This window comes from Homo sapiens, chromosome 1, assembly GCF_000001405.40.
Source record: "Homo sapiens chromosome 1, GRCh38.p14 Primary Assembly".
NCBI classification, from domain to species: domain Eukaryota; kingdom Metazoa; phylum Chordata; class Mammalia; order Primates; family Hominidae; genus Homo; species Homo sapiens.
Genome location: NC_000001.11, coordinates 120,490,552 through 120,507,027, shown reverse-complemented (window position 1 = coordinate 120,507,027; position 16,476 = coordinate 120,490,552). Strand labels below are relative to the sequence as shown.

Sequence of the window (16,476 nt, the reverse complement as noted above, 5' to 3'; positions counted from 1 at the left end):
TCTGGAATCCAGGAATCAGTATATGTTTCCATACTTTCTCAGGTGATTCCAATATGTACCCACATTTGAGAACCAGCTACAAGTAGGGCTAAAAACTGGCAAGTGGCAATTACACTAACCCCTCCAAGGAGTTTGGCTTGGATGGAAGAAACAACGACCTCACTCCTGTTGCTTAGGAGGAGCTACCTGTCTATTCTGCTGCCCATGTTCATAATCCCTGAAAGAAAGCAGGCTTCTGAATTTTCTCCTAAACTGTGTCTCTGCCCACCTCTTTCCTCATCTCCCCCATGCTAGGCTTCTTTTTACAGAGAAGTGGAGATGACGGGGCTCAAGGGAAAGGCCTATGATTTCAAAGGATCTATGAAAGTATCAGCCTATTAAATGAAAGGTCCTACCTGCCTCTGTGGAATAGTATTCAATGATTCTTTAGACAGGAGTGATGACATTTTGCAGCTCCTTGAGTCATGTTGGATGGGATCCAAATAAATACTTGCCTTACATAGGCCCTTCCCCAGCCTCAGCAAAGAGTTCTTCAGTCTGGAGGAACTAGGGCCACCATATCCAGCTTGATTTCATGTCCCCTTTCTCTTCTGAAAAACTCCAACATGGAATGGACATATTGACTAGTTAGTTTCAGGGGAAGGCAAGTACATGTAGACAAACAGATGTTCGTGTTCACAGGTAAGCTCAATCCTGCATTCCACTGCACTCACAACTTCTAACTGTGGGAGTGAATCCTACTTTTAGAACTTTCCTTGGAGTCTGTCATGAAGGATTATAGTAGGATCCAGGAGTGGGGCCACTGGACTTTTCCATTGTATATACTGATGACTTTAAGATACTTTATTCTCTACCTCTTGTGTCTCCTGCTAGGAAATACAAAGGGTGAGAGTTACAACCTCTAGGTTACAAGCCTTAGTCTAATTAGTATACCAAAGTGAACTGGGATCTCTGACATTCCACATGTCTCCTTTTAGTCTCTATTCTTAGCAATCACACACTTCCTTGCAAATTCTTCCCTTCTGACACCCCAGTTGCTTCTTACTAATGTTTCTTTCTGCCCAGGTACCAGCACTGTTCCTCCTGCTTCCACAGCTACATTGCTGAGCAACGACTTGGAAGCCGACTCTTCCTACTACCTCAACTCTGCCCAGCCTCACTCTCCTCCAAGGGGCACCATAGAACTGGGAAGAATCCTAGAGCCTGGGTACCTGGGCAGCAGTGGCAAGTGGGATGTGATGAGGCCTCAGAAAGGGAGTGTATCTGGGGACCTATCCTCAGGCTCCTCTGTGTACCAGCTTAACTCCAAACCCACAGGTAAAGCACAAAGCAGAGATGGCAGCCTTTGAAAAGAAGTCTCATTTGGAGTCTACTCTTTTCCTACCCAGGCAGGACTATTTCATTCCTCCTCCATCCCTGGCTCACAGAGTGGATATAAAATGCAAGAGCTGTATCAGGGCTCAATCCTTTCCAAGTACATTTCTTCATTCTCCTGCCCAGGGCCTCAGTGCTCTGTAGGGATATGGGAAAGTCAGGGACCCACCTCTTGTGCTGTCACACTCATGTCCTTCCATCCCTCTGCAGCCTGGCCTCTTTGTAGCCCACTCTCTTAGACCCTTCCAGAATGCCAGGCATAGATGGGACTTTCTTCCATCAGTCAGGACTTGTCACAGGAAAGGGTGTAAGGGTGCAGCTCCCTGACCCTGCACATATATCCTGTGTACAAAATTCAGTCACAGCAAGTGGAGAGGTATAGCTAAGCTCATAAATGCTGAGATGCCGCGCAGTTCCAACAGTAAGACAATCGTAATTTTCAGGAAAAGACTGAGCCCAAAGCAAAATGGTGCAGTTAATGTCCGGTGTAAGCATCCGTCTGACTTTTCTGGATATTTTTGCTTTGTTTGGCAGGGGGAAGGGGGGTGTCATCCCCTCTCTAATTTGCCTTCAGATCTCTAGATCCTTCCAGGCTATTCTTTCATCTTCCATATTAAAAGTGATTTCAGGGAAGCATTCAGTGTCAGTCATTAACCGCATAGGGTGAGTGTAAGATCACGTACTTTTACTTTAGGCCTTCTTTCTAAGGGTGGGAGGAAGGGCTTTGTCCCTTGCTAAAGAATGCTCACTCACGTGTCAGTAAGAAGAAAGGTAGAGTGAGGTCTCACCTATCATCCTCTTAGTCACACCCAGGAGGTGGCCACACCTTTCCAGATGCTAGGCAGGCCTTGTCCAGAGCCCTCAGTTATTTTTCTAAAACGTGGAACTCTCACAAGACCCCTGTGTGGGAGGAGGCCCATGGAGATTTTTTAGCAAGTGACTGTCATGTGTTTGAAAGCACATTGACTGTTTAAACAAAACTACCATTCTTTTGGGTGTCCGTGTGAGAGGACACAGTTGGCAGAAGGCTAGTGATATTTACAGGTCTTGCTGCAGGTCCCCTAGCCGAGCCCCACCCCCATCAGTAACCAGGATTCTCCATCTCCCACCTCTCTTCATGTCCTGGTGGTTTGGCCGCAGGGGCTGACCTGCTGGAAGAGCATCTTGGTGAAATCCGGAACCTGCGCCAGCGCCTGGAGGAGTCCATCTGCATCAATGACTGCCTACGGGAGCAACTGGAACACCGGCTGACCTCTACTGCTCGTGGAAGGGGTAGGAGAGGCCCAGACCTTCCTGTTTCTGGCTCTATTTAGGGACTTTTAGGCAGAGCTTCACAGATATTCTTTACTTCACTTGCTCCTTATGAACAGTCCAGCAAGGGAGGTGGGCAAGTACTGTCATCCCTACTTTCTGAATATATCTGAGTTTAGAGAGTAACTCTCTTTAAGGCAGAACTACGTCTGGTGCCCAGAGTCACCTGACTTCTCACCCCATACTTAATCTGCTTATATACTGCTGATGTCTGTGCCTTTGTTGTGTGATTGATAAGTGGTGGAACCAGGTCTGTAAGGGTCCTCCCACCTCTACCCTCGCCTCTTTACCAAGGTGGCCTTTCTCCTTACACTCTCCTTCCAAGCTGCTGTCACGTGGAGGCCAGTCTTTCCATATGTTGTTGTCCTGCCTATACCACAGCAGCAGCTGTTTAGGGAGATCGAGCCTCCTGCACCATTGCAGTTACGGCATGTGATGATGCACGCAAAGAATCCACTGAGAAGAGGCACACAGAAAACATGTACCCAGCCCCCCACGCTTCATTCAGGGCCAGGCCTTCAGTCCTTGGGGTTTTCTGCTGGGTTGGGGCAGTATCTTTGAGAGATAACGAATGGGAAACTTTTGAAAGTTTCTGTTACCCAAATGTCTACTTTCTGGGACAGGATCCACTTCTAACTTCTACAGTCAGGGCCTGGAGTCCATACCTCAGCTCTGCAATGAGAACAGAGTCCTCAGGGAAGAAAATCGAAGACTTCAGGCTCAACTGAGTCATGTTTCCAGAGGTACGTGGTCAAAACCCACAAACTGTGGTCACTCTTAAGTTTCTTTCTTCCCTGGCCACACTAATCACCAACTGGAGAAGCAAACAGAAGAAGGTAGAGGTAACAGAGCTACTCAGATCCACCAACCCAAACTCACAGCTATTCTCAGTCTAGAGAAGGCTGCTTTCTAAGATGTTCCAACTATGGGCCCCTCAGACTCCTAGTCCCCAGAAGCGAAGAGCTCTAGGAAATCCATCATTTCTGTACAAGCCCACCTGCATATATCCAGAGTCACAAGCTATCAATTTGGATACCAGTCTGGTATCTGCTCTACCTCCCTTCACTCACAACTGACTTGGAACCAATAAAGGAGGGAGTGCGAATGCCTATCTTCCCTCTCAAGTTTCTCCAGACTTTACTGCAGCAGCATGTGTCGCTCCTGGCCCTGCTGTGCCATCCCTCTGCCTCCTCACCACATCTCTCACTCATAGACTCAGGGCTTCCCTCTGGTCAGTACTCCCATGACTCCATGCCGAGTGGCACTAGCAAATGCCCCCCAGCACTTTCCCAGCCCTAGCCAGGGGGCGCTCACAGGTGGGCATCATTTCTCGTGTGGCTGGGAGGCAGCTGACCTTGGTGTTAGTCTACTTGATCAGATCAATGTATTATCGATAACAAAGTATTTTTATTCACAAATATTTATGAACAGCCATGAAAAGACTGAGGGTAGTATCCAAAAGGATTAAGCCCAGAATGAAGGAATGCTTGTGGAAAAGGAAAAAGCCACCAAGAGATATTTCTAAATTAGCCACCCAAATTAATTAATTTAATTAATTGATTTCTGTATTAGCAAGAAGATTTGAGAGGAAAGGTCACTGCTGGGGGACGATAACAAAAGTTAACAGATAAGAAAGAGGGCAGAACTACTGAGCTACCATTGCATGCTTGGAGAGAATAGAACACCTCACAGGTGAGAAGACAGTAAGAGATTTAAACGAATACAATTTGCCAGGCTCAGGTGACTCTTTCCCCAGAGGACTTACTGAGCCTGCAGCTGTATTTTTAGAGTCCCTTCAATAATCTTTGACAACTTGTGAAGATCAGAGAAGTGCTGCAAGTTCAAAAACAAAAAATCCCAGTTTTCAAAATAATGAAAATGAGATCCAAAAAGAAATCTTGACGTTGATCTTTGTCAAAATTCAAGAATGGATTATTGAACAGACGATATGTGAGCACTTGGAAAGTGGTGATCATTAGAAAGCAGAATTTCTCTAAGAGCAAGGTAGGACAGATTAAATAAGTGGCATGAAGGGTTTTGCAAAGAGAGAGAGGCACCGTGCTCCAGGCTCTGGGGGATGTTGAGCCAGCATGCTTTTCCCACCAACATAGGGCCTTCCTTCCCTGCTCCTTAGCTCTGTCTGTCAGGGTGGATGTGCTTGGGGTCATCTTCCAGCTGAGCTCTGGCCCCATGATAATAAATCAATCCTGTGTTCCTCTCACCAGAGCACTCCCAGGAAACAGAAAGCCTGAGGGAGGCTCTGCTGTCCTCTCGATCCCACCTTCAAGAGCTGGAAAAGGAGCTGGAGCACCAGAAGGTGGAAAGGCAGCAGCTTTTGGAAGACTTGAGGGAGAAGCAGCAAGAGGTCTTGCATTTCAGGGAGGAACGTCTTTCCCTCCAGGAAAACGACTCCAGGTAAGAGGGGACCCATTGACAGAGAAGGTAGCATTCTTCATTCTTACATTCATTCTTACATTACAAGAGGAAGGGATATTGGCAAGACAATTGATGTCCTCTTTTGGAAACCTAAATGTTCCCTCTGCTATTCCTGATTTTTGTGTGTCAGTGGGGTGGGGGGAGGGGCGCTTTGAGCAGAAGAAAGGACTTCTCTGGGAATGCCTTGTCACTCCCAAGTTGAGAGAGTAAAACTCTGTTATAGAAGTCTTCAGTATATCAGAGACATGAAAAAAGAAGGGTTCCCATGCTTCCAATTAGATATAGGACATTAGTCTCACCATCACCTAGGAAGCTTCTATACTGGCTGTGATGCTTGGTCCCAGCATAAGCCCTGTAACTGCTTGTCAGAATGCAAACAGCACTGTAGGAACAGTAAGGAGACTGTGCTGGTGTGTCTGTTCTGCTCTGAACTAATGTAGGTAATGGTGTGTTTTCAAGCAAAGTTACTTGACCTCCCTCAGCCTCCATTTCCATATCTGCAAAATAAAAGTGATAGTCTTCATGACCCCCTGAGTTGACATCTGGGGCTCAGATGTAACCCTAACTGTAACCCTTTATGACCCTCTGAGTTGACATCTGGCTCTCAGCTTGTTGCTCTGGTGTGGCTGAGTAGCTCTGCCATCTCAGTGGGCCTTGCCTCTCCCTGGTCAGACTGCAGCACAAGCTGGTTCTCCTGCAGCAACAGTGTGAAGAGAAACAGCAGCTCTTTGAGTCCCTCCAGTCAGAGCTACAAATCTACGAGGCACTTTATGGCAATTCCAAGAAGGGGCTGAAAGGTATGTGTTCTTCTCCCCTCACCCCATGAGCTTTTTGCCCTTGCATAGGATGCTAGTGAGGTCTTTCCTTTGGGAGTTGTGGAGATCATGGGAAGCTACAGAGTTCTGTCGCAGAAACCCCCACCCGAGCCTGGGGCTCCCAGTAGGAGCTCTCAAACACAAAGCCCAACGGGACAGGTTGGTGGCATGAGCAAGATCCGGCCTGATCATTCCTAATTACTTTAAGAAAATCTAGACATTCCTATCAATGTCTAGATTGTAACATTTTTGAAAGCAAAAGAACTGTCCTAATGATATCATCATTTGAAAAGGCCTTTAATATTGTTGGTAATACATACTGACAACCCATTCAGCCCAATGTAGCAGGCAGTCTGCTCCCACCCTGACCCTTTCCGTAGTGACATCTGGCTCTCAGCTTATTGCCCTTTCATGTAATTTTCATAAATCCTGATTTAGTTTCCTGATTTTCTAAAGAGAAGGTGAACTGGAATTTGAAGAAATACAGGGGCTTACCAGGCTGGGCGAATAGCTTAAGTACAAAGTCATGGTGAGTGTTGAGTCAGTGGGGACCAGCCTGCCCACAGGAGAAAATTAAAAGACACAAAAACAAAAACAAAAAAACCTTATAGAAATACCACTAATAGGACCTAAATTTCAATCCTGGATTTAAATATTAAGGACATTTATTGAAGACTTTGCTGCCTGCTGAAATAATAATCTAATATTTGAGAATTTTGATATATTTCTTCATTCTTTAAATGGAGAAGGGTATTCAAAACATAATGTGAATAAGTCACAGCAGGCTGGAACAGAGGACGACATCAATGTCGTGAAATTTAGCAAAGATAAAAAGCAAAATCCTGAGCTCGATTAAAAATATCAGTGGTAGAAATATAGGTTGAGGGTAGAAATATAGGACAGGCAGCCATTCATGGACATGAGGGTTTGGGGTTTGGTAGAAACATGTTCACACAAGTAAGGTGTAGGACAAAGGTTGCTAGAAATGCCAGCTCAAACTGGAACTACAGTAGTGTAAGTGTGATGTTCGCCTGTGGAGACCATGTCTAAAATATTGTTAGATTAAGGGGCACCATCTTTGAAAAGGGCGTTGACACACTAGGGAACATAATGAAGACAGGGCGCACAATGGTGTGGACCAGAAATCTCCAACTAGTCAAAGAAACTAAAGAAATGTAGGCTTTCAAAAGATCTTGAGGACATGAGAACTGGCTTCGGATATTTGAAGAAGTGTCAGGTGAAAAAGAACTCATGTATTTTATGTCCCTCCAGAAGGCTAAACAAAGAGTGAAGGGCAGTGGAAGTTAGATTCGAATTATCATAAATCCTGATTTAGTTTCCTGATTTTCTAAAGAGAAGGTGAACTGGAACCTGAAGAAATAGAAGGGGCTCACCAGGCTGGGAGAATAATTTAAGTACACAGTCATGGTGAGTGTTGGGTCAGTGGGACCAGCCTGACCACAGGAGAAGCTTGAGGTTGGAGTGAGAAGTCAGGATGGTGGAGCAGAGTCACCAAATCTTGAAAGCTCACAGGTCAGGGTAAAAGTTGACATTCTGTATAGTAGATAATGAAACTAAGTCTGTTCTTTTTCAAAGAAGATAAGCATATGATGAAAACAGAACTTTAGGATGCTAAGTCTTAGGGGATGTCCTGGAATTGGGAGACATTAGAATCTGGGAAACGTATTGGATGGGTCTAGTGATATTCTGGCACATTAAGAGATGACAGTCTAATATAAGGTGCTATTGGGAAGATGAAAGGGTATAGATAGATTTTAAAACATCTCTTAAAAAATAAGCAAAATTTAGTGAGAAGTTGGGTTGAGAGAGAGAGGAACATCATAAAACTTTGGGCAAAATTCAAGAGTAGATTATTTACCAAAGTCCCTAAAATTGGTTCATCCTGAGCTCCCTTTCCTTTCATGCTTTTCTCCCTGCCTTTTAGGACTCATTTCAAAGCTACAACCACTAAAGCTCCATAATCTCTTATCTGTAATTTCAAAATCCAGTAAGATTTCCAAATTAAATTTTTCAAATACTCATTTAGTGACAAAATCTAGATGATCTGACATGAGGATATTCATAAGTCTTTATTTATCTATTTAGAATATTCACATAGCTCATTGCGGAAATAGTTATATGTTTGATAAAGGATTGTGGCTCACATGCAACTGGGTACATGTTATATATGATATATGCACCCTGTTGCCTTGCTAAAAACTAAAACAAATTTTACCTTTCGAAATACATTTGGCCTTAAGGTTTTCAGATAAGGGATTGTAGCCTCGTAGAATATTTCTTAGATCTCTTCATCCCCAGTACAAAGAAATAGCCATGTGGTGAATGGAGGTAAATATACATACATATATATATTTATATATATGTGTATGTATATATATGTGTGTACATGTCATATATATGTACATGTATATGTGTGTACATATATATGTACATGTATATGTGTGTACATACATATGTACATGTATATGTGTGTACATACATATGTACATGTATATGTGTGTACATACATATGTACATGTATATGTGTGTACATACATATGTACATGTATATGTGTGTACATACATATGTACATGTATATGTGTGTACATACATATGTACATGTATATGTGTGTACATACATATGTACATGTATATGTGTGTACATACATATGTACATGTATATGTGTGTACATACATATGTACATGTATATGTGTGTACATACATATGTACATGTATATGTGTGTACATACATATGTACATGTATATGTGTGTACATACATATGTACATGTATATGTGTGTACATACATATGTACATGTATATGTGTGTACATATATATGTACATGTATATGTGTGTACATATATATGTACATGTATATGTGTGTACATATATATGTACATGTATATGTGTGTACATATATATGTACATGTATATGTGTGTACATATATATGTACATGTATATGTGTGTACATATATATGTACATGTATATGTGTGTACATATATATGTACATGTATATGTGTGTACATATATATGTACATGTATATGTGTACATGTATATGTGTACATATATACACCTATATATAGTATGTATATAAACACACATATATAAACACACTATATGTAGGTGTATATATATGTACACACACACACACATATATAGAGAGAGAGAGAAAGAGAGAGAGAGAAATTGAAAAACTCAGTTATAATCCCTCGTCTAAGGTGCCCAACTCACATTCTCACATGCTACCAAAAGACCTCCTCCTTCTCTTTCATTTTTGAGAGTGAGGACTATGAAATCTCTTTCTTCCTCATCCCCTACCCTTCTCTAGCTCAGTGCTGACCTTCTACCTTGGAGTATCCTATACTTTAGCCTACAGGACTAAGGTTACTATGGAGATGAAATATGGACTTATCTTCATCTGCCAATCAAATGCTCTATAGGTGCATGTGTGTAACTTAAGCCGCAGGGAAGTTTCAGACTGGATGTGTGCCAGCTCAGTGCCATCCCCAGGCCACACACAGAAATGGTGACACCTCCATCACAGATGGGTTGCATGAGACTCAGATGATAGTGGGGTCCTTGGCAGAAAAGAATGTCACAGAGGAGGGTTCTGACAAGTGCTTGGAAATACTTGGGTGAATGTTACCAGACTCCTTCTCTCTCAGCTTACAGCCTGGATGCCTGTCACCAAATCCCTTTGAGCAGTGACCTGAGCCACCTGGTGGCAGAGGTACGAGCTCTGAGAGGGCAGCTGGAGCAGAGCATTCAGGGGAACAATTGTCTGCGACTGCAGCTGCAACAGCAGCTGGAGAGCGGTGCTGGCAAAGCCAGCCTCAGCCCCTCCTCCATTAACCAGAACTTCCCAGCCAGCACTGACCCTGGAAACAAGCAGCTGCTCCTCCAAGGTAGGAAGGAAAAGGGACTTAGAAAGCCCTTGGCCAGTGGGGAGATCACCAGGAAGTTCTGCGGCAGAAGGTGTAATCTGCCTGGTCCATGCTCCTTAGGGTCAGGTTGAAATCAGAGATGCTCTAGTCTAGCAGCCTGAGTGAAAGCGTGGGATTTAGGTCAGACTGGGCTCCAGATTCTGAGTTTACCACTTAGAGGTCGTTTGATTTGGGCAAGGTGTCTAAAGTCTCAGAGGTTTAAGCTTTAGTTTCCTTATATTTAAGATGAGGATAATGATCATATGTACCTTATATGATTTTGAGCATTAAATGAAATCATTTACAAGTGCTTGGCACACTAAGAATTACTCAATAATTAGCAGCTGTATATGTTCATATCTTTTTCTTGGATTTGCTTGGTGCTTTAGTTTTAGCCAAGTGTTTTCACATATATAATTTCATCTGAAGTAAAGCAGGTTTTGCTATCTCTGTATTTCACATAAGAAAACTTAGGTCCTGAGATATTAACAGACAAGCAGGGGTTTAGAGAAGTTATAGACAAAGCCAGAATCAGAACCAGATGTTGTGATTTTCAGTCTGTGTTCCTTCCAGTTCATTGTGCCCTGTCTCAGTATTGCCGACCTTCCCAGATTCTCTAGTCCCCCTTTCCCTCACAGGTGGGGAACTCAGTGTGTGGTAAAATGTTCCTGCCCCTAAGGAAACAGGGCTCTGGGGAAGTCCTGGATGGTGGGTGATTTATTTCGGGTGGCCATCATTCGCTTTCTCTACCCCACCCCTTGCCTGCCTTTTCAGATAGGCGTGTTTGACCAGGTCCCCCTTCTCTTCTCAATATCCTCTATCAATCTCACTTCTCCCAGTTTTCATTGAAATGTCAATGGTGTCCCCCTAGTCTCTTAAATCATTCAATTTCTACTTCCTCTGTCCTTTTCTCCTTTTGATACACCGTTTAGTACACCATCTCCACTCACCTCCATGGCCATACCTTCAATTTTATTCAAATCAGGAACCACTTCTGTTCAGTTTCTCTAAAGCTGAGCTTTCAAACTCTCCTGCCAGCTATTTCTGGGTCATGTTAATCTTTGTTTTTCTGTGGTTCTTGTAGATTCTCATTTATCTGACAGTAACCTTATTTGTCAAATGAAGGTGACAATAACATGATTATGCTGTTTTGGCAATTCAATAAAAAAACACATGTGGTCCACCAAGCAAACCGCCTGACCACCAGGAACTGCTCAGCTTACATTAGTTGGACATCTTGCCCTCCTCTGGGCTGCCCTGATGGTTGTGGTGTTCAGTTATGTCTCCAACTCTTCCTTCTAACCAGGCCTTCTTCTCTCACTGGCTTCCCATACAGCAGCCAAGACTCAGCCCCACTGATGCAGTCCCTGCCCCTCTTTCTCTAGCACCCCGGAGGCCTGAGCTGGAAAGCAGGCACTGGGCCACACTTGCCTGAGCAGGACCTTTTCTACCTTCTTTGTGATATTTTCCAATTCCTCCACCATAGGGTTGCTTTTTAGTCTCCAGCAAGACAATGTTAACCCACCAAGCCTTCTGTCTCCGTTCTTCTCATACAAGTCAATTTTTTTCAGTATTACCTCATCAGAATGATGACTAGAATGTTGAGTCCCCCATGAATCCATTCATTCCTTGATTCTTTGATTCTAGATTTTAATCTGTACTATGTATATTTATACATATTACATTTAGTTACAGGGCATCATATTAGATACCACACACAAATTATACTTAAGACTCGGTTTATAAAAATACACCTAATAATTTTTCAAACTAGAAGTTACGTTCTCATGGAACACCCCTCAATTACAGGAATATCTTTTTGTTCTGAAGAATGGAAACATTCTGAACTCAGTGACTCATAGGCTTTTGCTTTTGCTTTGGCTTGTGGGGTATGGATAATTCTGTAAGAGGAGAGTCCTGCCACCTTAGGTCTCAGTGGGGACAGCTAGGTGTGCATGTGCTTCATGTGCAGTGTGTTCCAGGGCTCCTGAAAACTGTGGTTGCCTTTACCCCCTAGATTCAGCTGTGTCCCCTCCAGTCCGGGATGTTGGTATGAATTCCCCAGCTCTGGTCTTCCCCAGCTCTGCTTCCTCTACTCCTGGCTCAGAAACGCCCATAATCAACAGAGCAAATGGTAAATATGGCAACTAAAGGGCCCAGGGACTGATGATGGAAAGTGATTAATGCAAACAACCTTTTGTTGTCTCTAAACATATTATCTGTATTTAGAGAGTTTTCTCTGCATGCCCCAAGGCCTTTAGCCCTACTCCCTGCACCTTCTGTGGCTGCCTTTCTTGCCATTGTTCATCTTCCTGTAGTTTTCCTACTGCTGTTTTTGCTTCATTGCACCATAATCTCTCTATTCTTGAAAATGCTGTCTGTATCCAGCTTGACTTCCTTGTCTGTGTCTTCTCTACTCAGAAACTTATTATTTATTATGATTCATCCTATTTCATTTGCCAATAAGGAAAAAATTGTCTCCTGGCAAATTTATCATTAAGAGATAATGTAAGAAAGATTATAAAAATATAGAAGCCAGAAGATCTCTATGGACTTTGCCCCACCCTTGTACATTCCCAGGCTTCCTTTCTTGTTCCCGGCCTCGTCCTTTTCTTGTTCCCTACCTCTTTTTTAGTTGGAGCAAACTGAGGATATCATTATGAATAACAGAAGATTCAGTTGTGTTGTCATTTTCTTTTTCAGGCTTGGGTTTGGATACTTCTCCAGTAATGAAGACCCCTCCCAAGCTAGAGGGTGATGCTACTGATGGCTCCTTTGCCAATAAGCATGGCCGCCATGTCATTGGCCACATTGATGACTACAGTGCCCTAAGACAGCAGATTGCGGAGGGCAAGCTGCTGGTCAAAAAGATAGTGTCTCTTGTGAGATCAGCGTGCAGCTTCCCTGGCCTTGAAGCCCAAGGCACAGAGGTAATCACACCTGAAGCTTTAGGTGCACTCTTTCCCTGTGCCCTTTCTTCCTTTGATGTTAACTCCTTCTCCCACCATTTTTGTTTTTTTCATGCTTTGCATCTCTCAACAGCTGAGACTTCCTCTTCCATGTATAGCAGCCAGGCCCTTTCTTCTCTATCTCCTATTTTCACTGTGAGTTCTGCTCTGTTCCAGATGTAGCTGACTGGATATTTCCCCTCAGCCCCACAGAAACATGTGGCATTGCCTAGCAGCCTTTGGTAGCTTATTATCTACCATAGTCATGCAGGCACATGACCATCTGTGGGCAGAGTCAACTCAATGGGATGGATAGAAACTGAAGGATTTGCAGGTGTATGGCCCCCACATGTGGAAGGGGTGAGAAGCCTGGCAGCCATGTCATTTCCTTGTGCAGACTGCATAGAGGGAGGGAAGGCAGTCAGCAAAGCTTCTGAGAGCACCTTGCCAGTGAGAGAGACCAGGAACCTGTGGCTGTGCTGTCTGAGCTGCTGGAGACCCATGGATGTGTAGGGACAGCCCTGCCTCCACGGAGCCCCCACACTAGAGGGCAAGACACACACCCAAGTAGATAAGCACAGTAAGGGGCTACAGGCACAGTATGAGAAGTCATCCTCTGTGCTGTGAGAGCGCCAATGCAAATGTGGTCATTTATCTCAGGCAAGGAAGGTAACAGGCTCATAGAGGACATAGCAAGGGGGGTGAGTTTTGAAAGCCTTGTGGGTTCTGCAGGTGGAGGAAGGCATTCCTGGTAAAGGGAGCAGCACCTTAGTTCTGAGAGCTGCAAATGGTTGTGTGAGGGCTTCACAGGTTCAAGCAGGCCCATGTTCTATGCCTCACTCACAAAGGAAGCTTGAGCCCACGCAGGGGGAAGAAAGTAATCTCTCCGCTCCTGTGGTGTTACCTTTCCCCAGGTGCTAGGCAGCAAAGGCATTCATGAGCTTCGGAGCAGCACCAGTGCCCTGCACCATGCCCTAGAGGAGTCGGCTTCCCTCCTCACCATGTTCTGGAGAGCGGCCCTGCCAAGCACCCACATCCCTGTGCTGCCTGGCAAAGTGGTAAGATGCCAGTGCCCTTTCTTGGTTCAAACCCAGTTCTCCTGCCCTCCAATACTGTTCTGTCTCCTCAATGTCACAGCTTTTCCAGAAAATCAGGAGCCACATAGTGAGTTGGGATAGACAGGAACTTAGAGGAGTGTCCCTGGAGGGACATCTCTGACCCATGGTGGCTGCTTTCATTGCAGCTCTGAATATATCCCATTCCCCGCCAGCCCCCTGTCCCCTGGTTAAGAAATCAAAGAAGATGAAGGGGTGTGAAGAAGGCGGAGACATCATAACCCTGGCCATCCATAAATGTTCAGTTTATTTACCTCTCTGAAGTTTGACTGAGCTGAAATTCAGTTAAAGCTTCAGCACCCATCTCCTACCCCTCAGGTCCCATGGTTAAATGATCACAGAATGCCCCCATGAGACTGAGCCTTTTTAGCGACTGCCTGGAATCCCAGCATATCACTTAAGCTGGCATCGCTGGACCAGGCCTGGGGAAAGTCAGCCTCCCCTCAGGATCTGCTCAGAGCTCAGGCTAACTCTGATTGGCAGACCCTCGTGTAGGCAGGTTTCAGGATCCCCTCCCCAGGGATTCTACTTCCAGGTCAATGGCACCAATACCTTTTGGATCCAACTATGCTAATTCCAGGGAGAGGGTGTTGTGCCATCTTCATGTTGGCACAAATATTTACAAACTTGCAGACTTCCCTGAGTCCAGATCTCTCTCCCCAGCATAACACTTCTGAACTCTCAATCTTACCTGTGAAGGGAGAGTGACAGAACTGATATCAGGACTAAAGCAAGGTCCTCTTCAGAGTTGGGAGTTTTAAACCAGCCTGAAGCAAGTTTCTCTTAAGCTACAGGTGTGTGGGCCTGTGCTAGTCTGCATGGGGAATTCCAGAGTCTCAATATTCCTACCTAATGGCCTCATCCTGAACTGTCCTCAGCTGGAGATATCCAAGGCTGTGAAGGAGGAAATCCAGTTCAAGAGAGTTGAGAAGACTGTAGAATCCTTCTTTGAATTGGAAAGAGCCACAAAGCACAGGGTGCTTTAGGCCTTCTGCCTGGTCAGTAAGAGTCTGTTCCTCTTATCCAGGGAGAATCAACAGAAAGGGAACTTCTGGAACTGAGAACCAAAGTATCCAAACAGGAGCAGCTCCTTCAGAGCACAACTGAGCATCTGAAGAATGCCAACCAGCAGAAGGAGAGCATGGAACAGTTCATTGTCAGCCAGCGTAGGTTCCCTGAGAGGGAACGGGGGCAGAAACAGGCAGTCTTCCCGATGCCCCACTTGTGCTTCAGATGAGAAGTGATCAGGGGGGCTTGGGGATGTTGGGAGTGGAGACTGATTTGATGTCCCCAAACCTCCTGTGCCAGGAGCAATTGTGGCTGCAGAGGGAGGGGAGGACAGGGGGTGGATAGAAGGAGACTCCAAGCTGAATAGCCAGAAAGAAATAAATGCTTTAGAATTCTCACGCTAAGCAAGTAGGGTTAATTTCTGCTGGTGGTTTCTACTCTGTGGTGCTCTTTTGTTGTTTCAGTAACCAGAACACATGATGTTTTAAAGAAGGCAAGGACTAACTTAGAGGTAAGGAAACTACTGCACCAGTCAGAGGCACCAAGCCTGTCCCCCACCCATCACCATCCGTTAGCAGATCTTGTAGGTGACTCTTGGCCTGCTTTGGCCTTCCAGGAGAAGATTTGGGGTCCACTTGCAAGATCACAGGTCCTCAGTGAGCATCCTGCTAGTTTCTGTCCCTATCACCCTCCCACCCCGTCAGCTCCTGCCCCTGTATCTTGGTTCACTCTCACATTGTCATCATCTCTCCTTTTTACTCCAATTTTTCTTCTTTGAGGCCAAGTTCAGAGACTGGAGAAATGCAATTCAGCTGACTCTTGAAGTCATTAGACATTCGGGAGTCTGCCTCTGAATGAGCTTCTAGTAGAGGGATCTTGAGGCCAGTTATGTGTTCTACTCTTCATGAAAAAGTAAAAGCAATTTGCAACCTAATAAACTGATTTCACTGCACATTCCCGGGTTAAGAACAGCGATTTGATTTTGCTGTATCTTTAAGTAACATGACAAAAGAGATCTGTTGGGTCTCATTGGTCTAAAAGCAAATTTGTTAATAAATAACAACTGAACCTTCAGGGAAAAAATGTTATATATGTACCAGACATTATCTACATTTACTTAAAACACTAAGTGTTAATCATTCCCTAGGAAGTGCTTTGAAGAAAAACTTGAGGTATATGAAATGGTTAAAAATCAGAAACTAAACCTTTTAACATGGACATCAAAGCTTTGCCATAAGCAATTCAGCATATTCCTAGAAATGTTTCTAATCCATAACCTGAGAGAATGTTGATCTCCATAGTGTGAAAATGACTTGGGCCAGTTTAACTTGCTCTTTTTTTTATTTTTTCACTAATTCCCTTTTGTTTTTCTCTGATAATTCTTCTCTTTCCTGAGCCTCTTTAGAGCAGCACTTACAGGATTGCCTCTGTAAAGCCTTATTCCTGTCCCAGAAAAGGTAACCCAAAAAGTCTCTAGTATCCACTAAAAGGTAACCCAAAAATCTCTAGTATCCACTGGCTTTCTCCAGTGTGGAAGCTTT

At 44.3% G+C, this 16,476-nt stretch overlaps 1 pseudogene across 2 annotated transcripts in view; it reads left to right on the top strand.

The window, feature by feature from the left end:
• PDE4DIPP2 (PDE4DIP pseudogene 2) overlaps positions 1-16,476 on the top strand; it is a 195,809-nt pseudogene that overhangs the window by 158,409 nt on the left and 20,924 nt on the right. Inside the window, exons 31-40 of one of the 2 annotated variants that reach the window (NR_144517.1) lie at positions 1,066-1,317; positions 2,515-2,646; positions 3,309-3,428; positions 4,911-5,100; positions 5,794-5,918; positions 9,607-9,846; positions 11,882-11,998; positions 12,568-12,794; positions 13,727-13,870; positions 14,955-15,093. The product of NR_144517.1 is annotated as a PDE4DIP pseudogene 2, transcript variant 2 (transcript). Of the gene's footprint in view, positions 1-1,065; positions 1,318-2,514; positions 2,647-3,308; positions 3,429-4,910; positions 5,101-5,793; positions 5,919-9,606; positions 9,847-11,881; positions 11,999-12,567; positions 12,795-13,726; positions 13,871-14,954; positions 15,447-16,476 lie in introns of both variants that reach the window. The other variant, NR_144516.1, reaches the window with a different exon arrangement.